Source organism: Homo sapiens, chromosome 6 (assembly GCF_000001405.40).
Source record: "Homo sapiens chromosome 6, GRCh38.p14 Primary Assembly".
Lineage (NCBI taxonomy): Eukaryota > Metazoa > Chordata > Mammalia > Primates > Hominidae > Homo > Homo sapiens.
In genome coordinates, this window is record NC_000006.12 from 25,080,195 (window position 1) to 25,096,809 (window position 16,615).

Genomic DNA, 16,615 nt, shown 5'->3' on the forward strand with positions numbered 1-16,615 from the left:
CCCACCTCATCCTCCCAAAGTGCTGGGATCACAGGCGTGAGCCACCATGCCGGGACTAAAATTTCTCCTTTATTCAGTTAATGTGGTTGATTTTCACATGTGAAACTAACTTTGCATTGAGATTAAAGCCAACTGAATTGTAATAAATCATCCTTTTTATAAATTGCTAGGTTGGATTTGTTGATACTTTGGAATTTTGCATCTATGATCATTTCTGAAATTGTCCTGAAATTTTTGTTTCCCCACATGGTCTTGTCACGTGTTGGTGTCAATATTTTTGCTTCAAAAAACAAGTTAGGGGGCCAGGTGTGGTGGCAGCACACAAGAGCTAGCAGCTTCCCTGTCACTCTTTAGGATGACTTCATACTAGGAATGTGTCGACCACGAGACATCTCCCAGTAAATGGCTTTGAGCAAATTTTGAGGCATTCAGTTTCTTGGCCTTTTCTGGAATTGGCGGGTGTCTGTGGAGGAAAATCAGTCCCTAATGCCAAGATTATCGTACCTTTGAGTTTCCTTCCTCTTCTGATCTTGGTAGCAGTGGAAGTGGTAGAGATTGGTCAGACCCTGGGTATATTCTGAAGATGGAGGTGACAATTTGTTGACAGAGTGGATGTGAGAGCCAAGTAGAAAGATGATTTCATGGTTATTTAAGTAATGGAAGTGAGACATGAGATACTGGAGATGGGGAGACAGCAGGAAATGTGGGGTATATGCGAGAGGAGTGCAAAGGGAAGTGAGGACATAGGAGCTGATATCAGGTCAGTGAACTGGTGGTCCTGGTGATGTCAAAGAACTGGTGGTATCAGGATATCAGAAGGAGAGAACTGGAAAGATAGCAGGAGAATAAAGATAGACTTAGTATGAGAAAAATTCATATTTTAAAATAATCTTTTATTTGCTCACCATAGACATTCTGACCTACATTACATTGATATACATTATATTTATTTGCAGTGAGAACTGAATAATTTACCACACAGTATAAATCACAAAATTATAATTCCTGAATTTCTAGCATTATTGTTATGCATGTGAGCGGTTAACCAGAATAATCAAACATCACTGATGTTAATCTAAGTGAGAAGTTGGTAATAAACACTTCTAATTATGAATCTAGAAATTTCAGGAGACAAATTCCACCATTGAATTCTTGTATCTTCAGAATCAGACCTAGCATATATAATCAGAAAATAAATTTTGAAGTTCAAATCAGTGGTGTGTGTGTTAGAAATGTCAACATGTAAAACAGAATGCTAGTTAACAATCACATTTTCCTAAGAAAAAATTTGCATCTTAATCATACGAATATCACGAAAACAGACCATTTCCAGTTTTCACTGTAGTCTTGGATGTTTTTCTCTTCCTGTTTCCTCTGTGATTGGATTCGTATCTACTACAGCTATGCTTTGTTTTCCACAGAGAATTTGTTCCTATTGGGTTCATTGGTTCTTTCTGTAGAGAACTGTGGATGGAACAAGTAAAATATTTTTGAATCTGGCTATGTAGTGATCCACAAATGTAAGCTATATATACAAATCACAAAGGCAACGTGGAATTATCTATTGCTGACGTCATAAAGCATAGTCTCTTTGCTGTAAGCTTCCTGGGTTCAAGATGTAATGATAAATTTTTATTTTGCATCAGATCAGTGAATTCTTGAAATTTTCATGTGGTTTTGCATTCCTGTGAAATGAAGATATTATTAATGAACAACAGTATGAATCTCATTTCAATGCCTTTTCATTTTCTTACTGCACTGGGGCAAATTTTTATTCTTATTTAGTTCAAGGTCTATAATGCTTTAAGATAAGCGAGAATCTAAAACTGGAATGTGAACTGGAATATGACCCTCCTCCCAAGTCTTAAGGATTTACCAACTGACTGTGGGCCACATGGTATTCCTGTTTATTTCATGGGGCTGATATGGTCAACATCTATTGTTCACTTACCATGGCATGTCACTTTTCTAGACATGCCTTATACTATGACATAACCCTGTGAGGTAAGTGCTATTACATTCATTTTACAGATGGAAATCTGGAACACAAAGAGATCCAATAATTTGTCCAAGGTCATATGGTAGGTGACAGAGCTGGAGTTTTAACTCAAAAGGTCGGACTCCAAGTCTCCTTGAGACAGCAATGTCCAAATGCACACAGTGATCTCTTAATTTCTATTGCCTTCATCTCTGCTCTGCTTCATTCACCCACTTATACAGAAACACCTTTAATTTGTCTTCCTTCAAAACTGCTCTATCTCTAAGACCTTGGACTTATTGCTCTAGCTGCTGCCTCCTTAGCTTTTATTCCTGTTGCTTTTTCACAATGGCTAAACCTGCTCAGCATCTGCATTGAGCCCTCTTAACTCTCCTTATTCTCCCAGTTCCCACTCCTGCCCCTTTCCTGGTTTCCCTTACTTCGGTGCCATATGAGGAAGACTTGCCATTGCATGAATTCACCTTGTATTTTTCCACCTTTTAACCTCACCCACTCTCTCTGTCTGGGATATTCTTCCTCTCTCTCTGTTTTAGCTTGTTTAAAACTTTTCCCAATCTTTAAGCCAATCCCCTACCCCTTACTCCTCAAATGCTATCTCTCTACAACGTTCTTCCTGGTCATCTCAAAACCTCACATGCAATCCTTCTTTCCTCAGTATTCCCGACAATCAGTTTGTACAACAAATACAGTGCTCATGAGAGTCTACCTTGTAATAAAGTTGCATGTGGATTTCCTTAGCATCCCTTCTAGCTTATAATTATAACTTAGAAGTTCTAGCCCAGTGCTTTATGCTAGATTAGAATATGGAACAAGTAACTTTACAACTGGAAAGTATGTAAAAGATATTCTAATTCAAACCTTAATTTTACTGCTAAAGACATTGAAGCCTATTTTAAGAGGCGACTCATGCTGACAATGGGAAAGAGAAATTCACTTGTACCTTCCTTCCTTGAATTCATATTAGGAATAAAACCATACGTGTGCTCAGCACTGTGCTAGGCACTAGGTCTACCCAGGTGACAGTTCCTATTTTTAAGAATCTCAGTATCTACTGGGAAAAACAATTAATAGATTATTATAACACAATGGGATGGGATACCTGTTTGAGGAATAAATAAATGCATGAGTCAAGGAGTTTACTGTCTTTGCAGTCATATTATGTGGTCCCTTCAATCAGAAGCATGAGGAGACAGGTTTTTTTTTAGACAAGAGTTTCCCTCTGTGGCCCAGGCTGGAGTGCAGTGGCACAGTCTTGGCTCACTGCAACCTCCGTCTCCCTGGCTCAAGCGATTCTCATGCCTCAGCTTCCCAAGTACCTTGGACTACAGGCACCCACCACCATACCTGGCTAATTTTTGTATTTTTAGTAGAGATGGGGTTTCACCATGTTGGCCAGGCTGGTCTCAAACTCCTGACCTCAAGTGATCTGCCCACCTCAGCCTCCCAAGTGCTGGGATTACAGGCATGAGCCACTGAGCCCAGCTGAGACAGGTTTTATAATTCACTTAATAAAATCATATCTCAGGCTGCAGGAAAGGAATGTCAAATCTGATTTGTGCCAGGCAAGTTCATCGTCATTAGTCCAAAAGAGGAGAGAGGTCTATTGGAAATGAGGAGCTGCTGCTTTCCATCTCACCCTCGGTTTTTAGTTTGTCTCTCTTCAGTTTTTGTTGCTGCTTTCCCTCGTGTACTCAGGATTATGTTTTAAACACTCACAACCTGGACGATTTTGGTTTTGTTTACTTATTGGCTGTATGTTTACCTCAACCAGGCCAAAGGTTCTATGGACTCTGGACTGGATGCACTACTGATTTACTTTTTTTTCTGATGGTGGGGGTGGGGAGATGGACTTTTGCTCGTCTCCCAGGCTGGAGTGCAATGGCATAATCTCGGCTCACTACAACCTCTGCCTCCCTTGTTCAAGCAATTCTCCTGCCTCAGCCTCTTGAGTAGCTGTGATTATAGGCAAGCACCACCATGCCTGGCTAATTTTTGTATTTTTAGTAGAGACGTGGTTTCACCATGTTGGCCAGGCAGGTCTCAAACTTCTGACCTCAGGTGATCCACCAGCCTCGGCCTCCTGAAGTGCTGGGATTACAGGCGTGAGCCACCACGCCTAGCCTATTTACTTTTTAAAACACTTGAATGGTCTTGTAATGTTAGCTGTTCTCAGTCCCGCAAAAGTCGGGTTTCTGTCAGGCAACGCGTCTGCTTAATTTAGGTGTCAAAGAGAGTGTCACGGGATGCACGGTAGGACAGCTCCCAAACCCACAGGATATTCCTTACTTGCAAAATCACAGGCCCATTCTGCTCACAGCACATCAGGAATGACTTCCAGTTGGGTGGTGTGAGGGGGAGTTTTATTTGAAAATGATTCCAAAACCTGTAAGAGAGATAAAGCATGGGAATGTGCTCTGGAAACTTCCATGCCTGTTCCTTTGCCAGGATCTATTTGGTACCTGGTACTCTGTCCTCCCTGAGAGATAGTGTTTCTGTACTGTTCCAGCTGTTGATGTAGCTCAGAACTTTCAGGGTGTTGAATACAGACAGCTCCTTGAACGAGATTTTGTCTTATTTTTATTGTACTATGATGTTCCTTGCTTTAAGGAATCCTTATATGTGAAAATCTAGATCTATATCTTGTACACAAAAGCAACAGAATCTAGTATTAGTGAAGGTACAGGTAAATGTATTCTCTCATACATTATTTTTGGAAAGGTGAACTGGCTTCCCGAAGAACGATTTGGCAGAGGGCACTAAAAGCCTAGACGCTGTATTCATAGAATCCAGCAGCCCCGCTCCTAGGAATTTAACTTACAGAAGTCACTATGAATGTGTGCAAGACACATCCACATGATTATTTGCCATTGTTTCAAATAGTGAAAAGTTAGAAATGACTTACAGGTCAAAGAGGTTAAATAAAGTGCTAATATAGGTATGTGGTATCAGGTAAGCAGGCATTAAAAATGATGTAGGAAAATACAATACTGTGGAAAATCGCGTTGATAAACACACAGGTAGAAAAGTATGTATGGTATATGTGCTTGGAAGCAAAAAAAGAAAGATTAGCTAGACACCAAAATATCAATTATTATTTCTGGGTAGTGGGATTATTTGTAGTTTTTTCATTTAAAAATATTTTTTCAAATTTTTGACAGTGGATATGTATTATTTTTATAACCAGAAGAATGTTTAGTAAATTCACAAATCCCATTTTCAGAGCAACAAGATAAAGTGGACTGTGACTGCTTCCCAATATTTATGATGACATCTTATATTTGTGACCCTTGTTACCAAAACACAATAGAACAAGATAGAGTTTAGCGATTTCTAAGATGGAATTATTTTCTTAAGAAAAAAAAAATCCCCAAGATCCCCTCAAAAGTTGCCAGATTCCTTTCTTTCTAGAACAAGAGTTACGTATATGATCCGTTGAAAATGAAAAAAACTTGGAATGTCTTACAGCTGTTAAAAGATTTGAGGTTGACCTGGATGTCCCAATGTGGAAGGCTATCTAAAATATATTGATGAGTAAAAAATGCAAGTTGCAGAATATCTGTACTAGGATTTCATTTAAAAACAATAGCAACATCCCAAAGGTGGTGTGTGCTTTGCCAAAATTAAAAAAAAATAAAAACAACGGCAACAATAACACTCCCTCACTACCAACTATGTGGGACATCTTATTGAAAACAAATATATGTAGAGAAATGTTGCTATGTCCAGAAACAGGCCTGGGAGGATACACACTGAGCTATTATCAAAGCTTACCATAAGAGTGGGTGGAGGGAAGGGCAGGAAACAGGGTTTCCTGAGAGGTGCTTGGTGGGGTTACTTCCTTTTTATTTTACATAGCTCCACATTCTTAAGCTTTTTCATATCATTTAAAAACATTCAAAAGGAAATAAGTAAAAAAGAAATTTTAATAAATGCCTCTGCTTGCAAGCTCAGAGTACAAACTTTTGCTTATACATTTTAAATAATTAGAATTTTAAAATTAAATTTCTGCATTTTTTTCAGAGGATCTGTGGTAATGAGAAAAAGTACTCTTTCCTTTGGTGATTATTTTGCAAATATAAAAATGGCAAATTGCCCTTTCTGAATTTCAGTGCAAATATTCTAGATATGATCCTAAAGACTTAAACAGTTTTGAAGTGCAGGCAGACAGAAACTCAGTGGGCCATTCCCTTAAACCAACTAGCCCACCAAATTCTTGCTCAGAGGTGAGCACAGACAAAAATGTGATGCAGGAATTCACTAATTCAATGACCATGTCTTTGCCACACAAATACTCATTCTTGTCTTGGCAAACATACCCTTTCCCTCTTATAATGTATTTCTCTTTCTTATACCAAAACCCACTTCCAGAAGGGTGCAATAACACATTCACATGAATGTATAAATGACTCTTTAATGTTATACCTTCCTAACCAGATTTGCTTTTTAACAAACTAACAAAGGAATGAAGCTCTAATGGTGGAATCTCACACATTAGTCAGAATCTGGGGGCTTCGGCAGTCACTGACTGCTTATGCATATCCACAGCGTCCTCAGCAATGGCCTGGGGGCGCCAGGTGCTTCCAGACTTACAGGTGATGGTATATGTCAGGATCCCGCTGGAGCCGTGTTTGGAATCCTATATACAACTCATCCCAGAGTAGACCATTCTTCACCACGTGTCTGATGACATCCACCCGGCTATGGATCTGAAATAGACATGGAACCACTAGCAGGGGCAACCCAGGAAGCAGAGTATGGATCCCTCCTGTCCCTGGGAGGAGCAGCTGCCCATGATGGCAGAGGCACGGAGAGCCAAGGAGAAGAGTCTCTGGGAGCAGATATCACAGGCTGAGGAGAAAAGGAAAGATGCTAAGTGCAGCAGGACTCGAAAGAAGGAAAACAGGAAATGGATTAAGAGCAGGGGGAGCATCTGACTGAGAGCACAAACTGCAGATTCATGGGTTCAAATCCAGACTCTAGCTGTGTGATCTTGGTCACCGTTCTGTGCCTTGGCTTTCTCATCTATAAAATGAAGACAATAATAGAACATGCCTCATAGGATTGTTGTGAGGATGTATATAAAATACTTAAAGCCTGGCACATAGTAAGCACTCAAGAAATCTTTGCTGTTATCGTCATTCTAAAAGCCGAGTGTTCAAGTCTCCACCTGAACATTCAGAGGCAAAGCAGAGCCTGGAAGCTCACAACAGTCTATAGTTTCTGGCCTGTCATAGAACAGGATTACTTTAAATCAAGTGGTCAAGATCCTTATCCTTAAAGAATCCCAACTTTTAAACTGTTGAAGAGCCAAAGCAGCACAGGATTAGGAGACAAGCAGAGATGGTCTTGAGTCTCAGCCCTGCACTTACTAATTATGTGACCTTAAGCTTGCTAAGCCTCCGTTTCTCTATTATGAGACTGTTGAGAGAAAAAAATGAGATAACTTATATAAAGAAAATAAAGAGAAGTTATCCTTGGTTGCACATAGTTTTAACAATCCATCGGCACCAATGTTAGAGTTTAGAGGAGCCCTTTCAGTGTCTGCAACAAATTTTCTCCCGGTAAATATCATGCTAATATCAGTAGAGGCAAACTTTCCATAAGTGACAGGCTATTAAATGACACAGAATGATTGGAAGTTTGGCATTTTTAGATCTATTTCTCTTTTTTGCACCATTTGTATAAAACAATTATATCCATCGTGAACTGAGGTTACAAACATAGGGCAGAGTTTTGCTAATAGAGGTTTAGAAACATGATTCTACAATTTGGTCAGGTTAAGGTCGGCCTGGCTAAGATGCAGTACCAGGACCTGGTTCCTCCCAATGCAGGGTAAATGGCCTTTTTTGGCCTTTTAGCTGGGAGAGAAGCACACAGGAGAATTGGAAGTAGATTTAAGAAATATTTGGGGTGTAAAATGGAAAGGTCTAGATGACTGATTAGATTTGGGGATGTAAGGAAAAGGGAAGAACCAAAGATTACTCATTTGTTTCTAGCTTGACTGACTTGGGGAATGATATTACCAACGATCAGATAGAAAAAGGAAAAAGAACATTTTAAAGAAGGAAGATGAGGAATTGAACTTTGAACAAGTTGAAAATTATGTATTAAGCATTCAGAAATTCAGACAATTATATCTAGCAGGCAGTTGACTATTAAGAACCCAAAGCTTGACAGCACTGGAGGTAGCCAGAGAGCGCTCTGGGCTGGACATATGGATTATTTTTGGAGTCATTAACAGAGAAGTGATGTTAGCAGGTGAGTTTACCCAGGAAGAGACTTGGGAAGAACAGTGGAATGAACACAGAGTCCTGGAAGGAAACAAGAGACTTAAGCAGTGGCTGGGGAAAGAGGAACTCCAAAAGAATGCAAAAGAATATTCAGGAAAACAAGGAGGTACTGTCACTGGGCTAAGGAGAAGACTATTGGTTCACAATGACGGACAAATTGCGTGCATAACCTATCTCCTCTGCATTTCCAGATCCAACTAAAATGTTGCAAAGCAATTATACAGGAATAAACTGCCACATTGAAAAGAAAAGGAAGTGATTCATTGACAGGAGAATTCAACTAATTACGTGAATCTAGAAAGCATGCAGACAAGTGGAAACCGAAGATGCAGGGCAGAGGCTGTACAATCCCAGACAGTACATGGAGGGGTGTTCAGATGTGGAGGGAAGAGAAGTAGGTACTGCGGATGACAGGAGGGCAAGCACAAAAGTTATGTCCATGAGATAGCTGGCCCCTTCTCTACCCCTATATATGGCTCCCAGGTCAAATATATTTCTACAGTTCTCTCAATACATAGAATCAATTTTGGGGTAGGGGGAGAACAAGGGCAGGTAGTGTGTTTGTGATGCTGAAAGCAAGAGCCTCCACATTTTTGCACTCGGGGGTCCCCTAGCTGGCTTCTCTCCTCACCTTCACAGCTTAAAGCATACTGATGATCCTTTGGCCAAATACAGCCTAGCTCTCATTTCATGTAGTCTATAACTCTTTAAGAACATTGACTCAGCTTTCTACATTTATAACTTTGGGTATTTCACATGAAAATCCAGATTTCCAAGTTCTCTGGAAATTTCAGATCAGCCGGAGCTCAGCAGGCCTGCCCCCTTCTCATCCCGCATTCTACTTGATGCAGTCTGCCCCAGCTTCACCAGTTTATGAGATGTGCCTTGCACCAGTGTGCGAGCCCTCTGTAAGTAGAGCCTACTGGATGACAGATCCTACACCTATACATAAGAGCCCCAAATCAGCTGAAAAAAGTCTTTTTATCAGTAAATATGGACTAATCCTGTAATTCTTAAAAGTCACCCACAAAGAAAGGAGGATCAAGCTAGCATAAGTTTTCTTTAGAGCAACCTTGTCTATAACTGGAAGCCAAAGGAGCAATGCCTTCCGGTGTCTATGGAAAATGATTAGTCACCCAGAATTACATGCTGAAACTTACTTACACACCATGAGGCAGGAGACAGTTAAGCAGAAAGTCCCACATAGAAGTGAAGCAAGGAAGGGAAAGGCATGGGTGGGGTCTGGAGGCAGTGAAAGGTAGCAGATTTGCAGCAGAGCTAGAGAGGAGCCCTTCCAGGTCGGAGCAGGAGGATGGAGAGCTACAGGAGCCATGCATTTAAGAATGGAGAGTTAGTGTGATAGAAATGATGAGTTTGAAAGGCAATTAATACCTCCAAAAAGGTGGCAGGAGGGAGGCAATATGAGAAGTCTCCGGGTAGCAAGAAAAGGAGCTCTTCCACACATAGGCATAACCTCTTTAACCAAACCTCAGCATATAGAACTCTCCCTAAAATCCTGGGAGATAAAAGCCCTCAAGCCACAGTATAACAGTACCATGTGCAGAGCAGGCATCATGATTTTGCCCCATGGTGTATTTAAATATGCAACAGAGCTGCTGCTTGCTTTATCCAGCAGATGCATTATGGAAAGCTGTGAAAAAGTGATTTTTTTTCCAAATTAAATATTTTAAATGAAGTTATTTAAAAATTTTCAAAGGTGAATCTCTTGAGGCTAAGAAACCTCAATTTATAGGTTTTGTAAATTCAGATTTGAAAGGCTACACAGTGGCTAAGAGCATAGACTTTGAGCTAGACTGCTTGAGTTAAAGCCCCGCATCACCATTCATTAGCTGTATAACCATGGGCAAGTTATTCTAACTCTTATAATCCCAGTTTCTTCCCCCACAAAATGGGGGCAGATAGTAGTATCTGTTCACAGGGTTGTTGTTGGATTAAATGTCTTAACATTTCCAAAGTGTTTAACACTGTGCTTGGCATAAAGCAAGCTTGGTAAGTATTTGATATATAAAGCAATAAATGTAAAGATTTATTTTGTCTAAAAAGATGTAAGCCTATTTATCATCTATACGGTGCCTCACACAGGATTTTCTTACCTGTAAAAATCCAGTTTTTTTGTTTGTTTTTTGAGACCGAGTTTTGCTCTGTTGCCCAGGTTGGAGTGCAATGGCATGATCTCGGCTCACTGAAACTGCCGTCTCCTGGGTTCAAGCGATTCTCCTGCCTCAGCCTCCCAAGTAGCTGGGACTACAGGTGCCCACAACAACGCCCAGCTAATTTTTGTATTTTTAGTAGAGATGGGGTCTCACCATGTTGGCCAGGCTGGTCTCAAACTCCCGACCTCAGGGGATCCACCTGCCTTGGCCTCCCAAAGTGCTGGGATTACAGGTGTGAGCCACCATGCCCAGTGCCAGTTTTTTTATTATTATTACCTATAAATCAGGTAGCAGATTATTACTTTTACTGAAGTTTCCATATAGGATTTCTTCAATAGCAAGTACTAGTCAATTTATTAAAATGTAGTTCAAGAGCACATTTATTACATCTATTAGGTGAAGGTATATTTAAACCTCTACATTTAGGACATCACACATTTAAATGGCACATACAATAAGTTTAAGGGCAGACCGTATATCCTCATAACTAATGATTCTTACATTCATAGACAATTTTAAATTACAATGCATGCTCACATATATTATGTCATTTAACTATCACGACAAACTGGCAAGGGGGGAGCAAGCCCTGTGCAAGCAAACAAAAACAAAAACCCCTAAAGCTCAGACAGCTTAAATAACTGCTCAAAGCCTCCTAATCAGGAATCATGATCAGCAGAAAGGGGCATCAGTCCCCATCTTGACACTGTCTCCAATGTCATGGATCTTTACATAATGCTGCCACTGGCGAGGGATTTGTTCAGAACTTGAATTCAATAAAATATGTGTTGCTTCATGTTGATCTAACTCCCTTTCCAGAGACACCCATTGGGAGGGGCACAGGAAAATGAAGGTAGAGATCAATGCTCACAGGTCTAATAACAGCTTAGGTTGAGCAGGTGTTTGGAAGTGAGCAGACAGAGAAGTCAATCTTTGGGAATGGCTCATAAAGAAATAAGTGTGAACTTTGATCAATAACAATGTTTTAATATTGGTTTGTTAGTTGTGACAAATGTACCATAGTAAAGTGAGTTGTTAATAATACTTTGTATTAATTATAATTATATTAATTATAATTAATATTGTATTAATTATAATTAATATCCTTGTAACTTTTCTGTAAATCTAAAGTTATTCTAAAATTATAAGTTTATTTAGGAGGAAAGGAAGGAAGGGAGGAAGGAAGGAAAGAAAGAAAGAAGGAAGAAAAGCAGACTTCCACCAGTGTTGCTGCTTACTTCCTCATAGGGATGTTCTCGTTGTGGTCTTTCTTTTGGGAAGGATAAATCTAAAAAGTCAACCAAATAGTCATATCCTCCAGGAAAAGGATTGAAGTCCTCATCTGTCTCAATCATCTGTGCAAATGACAACATGGTAAAGAGAAGAATATCAATCAAGTGGTCAAGGTCTTTAAAAATTCTAAGAATGTGTAAGACTCAAATGCTCTTAAATGATAGATGATAGGAATGAATGGGAAATTAAGAGTCTCTTCTCTCACCTGAACTGCAACATTCAAATCCTAGTCTATATTAGCAAAACTGCTTCATGTCACTAACATCAAATGTATACAGCTGGTTATCGCTATCTGAAGTACTATTAGTAATGAGACATCAAATCCCACCATAAATTTGCAGGTGAGGAAATAAATGTGAGATGTTTCTCATTGTCATATAGCAGCTAAATAGAAATGGTTTCACTGAAAATGTTTTATAAAAAACTGTCAAAAGTTTTTCTCTTTTTCATACCAATTGTCCTAATGAAAATACCATTTACCAATGCTTCCTAGGTCATTAGATTTCAAAGACAATTTTCTAGAAATTATCTGGGAACTAATATAGATATCAACCATTTATTTGGCTAAGTGAGGACTGAAAAAAACCTTGCCTCTGCTACCCTTTTATTTCATTGAAGAAATAATGTTTTAATACCCCCAAATAGAAAGGACTTAGTCATGGAATAATAACAATTCATCCCAAGAAAAGAGAGTTGATATACATACCTGCTCTCTTACTTATTTCACTATTTGCCAGCAAAAACTTTGTCACAGACTGGCCATGGGCCCCAGCTAGGTTTCTGGGGATCATTGCTTTTGAGAATAGCAAGTATTATCTGGCATTAATGTTCAGGAATTGAAAGATAAACTTGGGAGTACTTCTTACCCTGAGGGTAATGAATACTTGTGTCTTAAGAGTGTGAGTGTTGTCCATTTCCTGATGACATCCCTAAACTTTGCTCCCCTGTACAACTTCAGGCATCTCATATAAGCCACAGGTAGCTGGTTACTCACTGACTTTGCAGTTACTCCTGTCCCATTTCAGACCTCCTCTTTGTCTTGCACCCTCTGTCTGCTAGTATTTAGTTTGCTTTTGGAGATCTGTCCAGTTTTGGTGACTAGGTTACAACATGAACTCTTTCTTAGCTTGTGGCTCTGTATGTATGTGTCAGGGCTAGATTAAGCTGCAGACCTAGGCCTAATTCTTAATTTGTGCAATTCAGCCTCAGCATAGCTGCAGACAAGGGTTACCTGCTTCTACCTCACCTTGCTCCGGGCGATTACCTCTTTGGGTGGATCCTACCTTCTAGCCCCACAGTTTAAATAGCTGTTCCTGCCATGCCAAAAACACTCACAAACACAAACAACAAAAAACACGTGGTGATAGCAGATAAAAGATGTTCCAAAAGAAAAACTTAGGGACTTCAGTACATTCTCTAAATATTCAACAAGAGATTGCTGATCAATTGTGAAATCTGTTCTCTGTTAGGCAGTTGATAGGACTTAATAAATGCTTATTGGAAAACAAAGGGGTGTTCATGTATTTCCATTATACAAGAAAGCAAAGACAAACAATAGCATACCCTGACCACAAGGTTGTAATCTTTAAATCCAGCCCAAGTGAAGTATTCTTTTATCCAGGATGAGTGAAGAAATATTTCATCTCCTAGAGCAGCATTCAAGATTTCCAAATAAGGTTCAAAATCCCAGGAATCCTTGTAAATTTTTGTCCCCTCTGGAGGCTCTATGATGCCCTTGCTTAAAGACACAAAGGTGTGAGAACAGTGAAAGAAAGTAACAAGTAATGAAGGCAAAAGTTAGTACTTAAGTAGCAAAAGTCAACCAGACTAGCAGCTTTGAGACCCCTCAGATAATTCACAAGGCGTCCCACAAAAGTGCCTCAGTGGTCCCACCATTGCCTAAATCAGAGCAGCTCCTATTGTCTAGTGTGATAGGTTTCTAAGTCAGATTTCATTCAAAGAAAGAAGTCTATGTCTAGAAAAAAACGTGTGAAAACCACTAATTTGGGCCTCTTTGTTCAAACAAGTAAATTACAGAAATGTTGCTTATAATCTGGCCATGATTTTGTGGATGCCTGCACATTCGTGCCTCCCCACCCCAATTAGAATATAAGTTTGGTGAAAGTAGCAACCATGACTGAACCCATAGGAGGTGCTCAATAAATATTTGTTGGATATATGGATGACTTTAGCCTATCTTTAAGAAATTCCCAGAACTTTGTGTCTCTAATATATGGTGCTCTTGCTGTCCTAATCAAAGCACAGCCAATAGACAGATGCCAGTTTTTATCCTTAAACCCAGCCAGTAATGTGGTAGAGTTCTCTGACAATCCTAGAATTCTGTCCATCCCATGTGAAGATGTATCCTTGCATAAAACATGGAATTTTAAATCCCAAGAATGGAATAGGATGTGATCTGGATAAAGAAAATATAAGGAGGGAAATAGGTGCCCATCTCATAAAGACGTGGCAGTAGCTGACCTTCTTCTCAAAACTATACTTTTATATGCCCAAAGCTACAGATGTACTGGTTTCTGTAAAAAAAAAAAAAAAAAAAAAAAAAAAAAATTTACCAAATCCTAAAGCTTCTTCCTTCTAAATGTATCTCAAATCTTCTTCTGCAACTCCTTGCCTTGCCTCAGTGTAGAGCTTCACTAATCTCTTTCTATAGAAAGCCACACCCTCCCAACCACTCTCCCTTACTCCAGTGGTTCTACCTGTTCCCCAGTCCATTCTCTGCAAAGCTGAAATGGTTTTTCTAAATAAAAACTCAGCAATGTCCCTTCTTTGCTTTATAACTTTCTGCAGCTCCCCTCACTCACAGGACAAATTCCCTGCACTGGCTTCTGGGGCCTTTCTCCGAGCCTGGCTGCCGCCTATCTCACCCTTTTCCTCTGCTTTCACTCACAAGCCCTCTACTTAGGAAGACAGATGGCTTCATGAGGGCAAAAGCCTCTTCACAGCTGTATCCTCTGTATCTGGGATGATGACTTGCACACAGAAGGAGTTCAATAAATCATTTCTGAATGAATCACATATATTTATGCCCTCATTCAAAGTATCCGCATTCACCAAACCCATTATACACTTGCCTTCTCCAGCACATGCCATTGTTTCTGACTAGAATCTCTTTCTCCTCTCTACTTACTCGTGACATCCTCCTCATCTCTAAATGCCAAAGATCCAGATTAAGCTTTCCTTGGTCACAATTTTTTCCTCTTCCCCTTGCAAGGCAGTTAGAGCACTTGGTCTCTGTGTGTCCTCTATACTTCGTCTTAGCTCTAAGACCCAACGGTGTTGACTTTCTAGTCACCCAGAATGCTTTGGTGAGGCACAAGAATACAAATGCAGATTCCTGGGCTCTACCTCAGATCTACTGAATCAGGATCTGTGGGGGAAGGGAGTCCAGGGATCTGGATTTATGTGAGTCTCTTCAATTATTCCTATGTTCATTAAAGCTTGAAAACTGCTGGGGCAATCGAAAGAGAAGATTTTTGGAGAGTTAGGCAAATGTAAAATGACGAAGGCTCTTGAATACCTTGCTAAGAACTGGAATAATTAAAAACCTTTAGACCTGGAAAATAAAATTAAAAACACTTTTATCCTGGAGGCACTAAGGATATCCTACAGAATTTTAAACAAGAATGTTTGCATTTTAGAAAGGTTACTTTGTCAGCAATGAAGAGCAGGGGCTTTCAAACATTTTGCCTATCATCCCAGTAAAGACTACATTTTACATTAGGACCCTGGAGTCCCCCTACCAAGGGTACCTATGAAACGGAAGTTTCATGAAATAATACCCTTGTTACATGCAATGTACTCAGGTATTTTCTATCCTATTCCATTTTATTCTATTCTATTTCATGTTTAAAACATTGGCTGTGAGCAATGGCATTAATTTTGTGACTTGCCAATGGATTGTGACCAGCAGATTGAAGACACTGGCATGAAAGATGGATCAAGGGAAGTTGTGGGGGAGGCACAGATACAAGTTGGGGGGCACTGCAGGAGTCTAAGTGAGAAATTTTGAGAGGCAGAATTAAGGCCAGGGCAGAAGAGGCTGGAGACGAGTGATGGATTTGTGAGTGCTTTATGAAGGAGAATTGACCAGATTTGATAACTCGTTTAATATGGGAAGTTAGCAAAAGACAGAATGAGCTGATTTATCATTCATACTGACTTTGCAGAGGTAAGGCTGGGAGAGGGTGAGCTTTTGGTAATTGCATGTACCACTCTCCAAAATGTTAGTCCATTTCCAAATAGCCCATGATGGTTTCATTTGGCTTAGAGTAGTATTCAAAAATATAGCTTTGTGGCATCATGTTAACTTTTCTTGGATTGCATTTCCAGTGTGTTATTGTTACTTGTTCAAATGTACTATCTGTGGAATGGGAAATTGGGTAATATTTGCACTGATATGAAAACTAATTTTCTTATTGCTTTTTACTTTCATAAAATAATTTATTTTTGAGCTGTATCAATGGACCTTAATAAAAGATTCTTCACTGTTTACTCGCTAGTAAGGTTCTGAGATGATGAAAACATTTGAGTCACTGTTATATAGGATGAAAAGATTAGGAAAAAATTCAGTCTTTTTTTCCCCTAGATTTGTGACATACTTATTGGATAGTTCATTTTATTTAAATGGGAAGACTTCCATTTTTAAAAAGTGAGGTAGGCCAGGCGCAGTGGCTCACGCCTGTAATCTCAGTCCTTTGGGAGGTGGAGGTGGGCAGATCATGAGGTCAGGAGTTCAAGACCAGCCTAACCAACATGGTGAAACCCCGTCTCTACTAAAAATACAAAAATTAGCCGGGCATGGTGGCATGTGCCTGTAATCCCAGTTCGTCAGGAGGCTG

At 39.7% G+C, this 16,615-nt stretch overlaps 1 pseudogene across 1 annotated transcript in view; it reads right to left on the reverse strand.

Moving 5' to 3' along the window:
- Nucleotides 1-872: 872 nt before the first annotated feature.
- The window catches only part of CMAHP (cytidine monophospho-N-acetylneuraminic acid hydroxylase, pseudogene), a 57,326-nt pseudogene continuing 41,583 nt past the window's right edge, over nucleotides 873-16,615 (reverse strand). The window contains exons 9-13 of the transcript NR_002174.2: nucleotides 13,320-13,494; nucleotides 11,702-11,818; nucleotides 6,590-6,705; nucleotides 4,286-4,382; nucleotides 873-1,685 (exon numbers count right to left, since the gene is read on the reverse strand). The product of NR_002174.2 is annotated as a cytidine monophospho-N-acetylneuraminic acid hydroxylase, pseudogene, transcript variant 1 (transcript). The remainder of the gene's footprint in view (nucleotides 1,686-4,285; nucleotides 4,383-6,589; nucleotides 6,706-11,701; nucleotides 11,819-13,319; nucleotides 13,495-16,615) is intronic.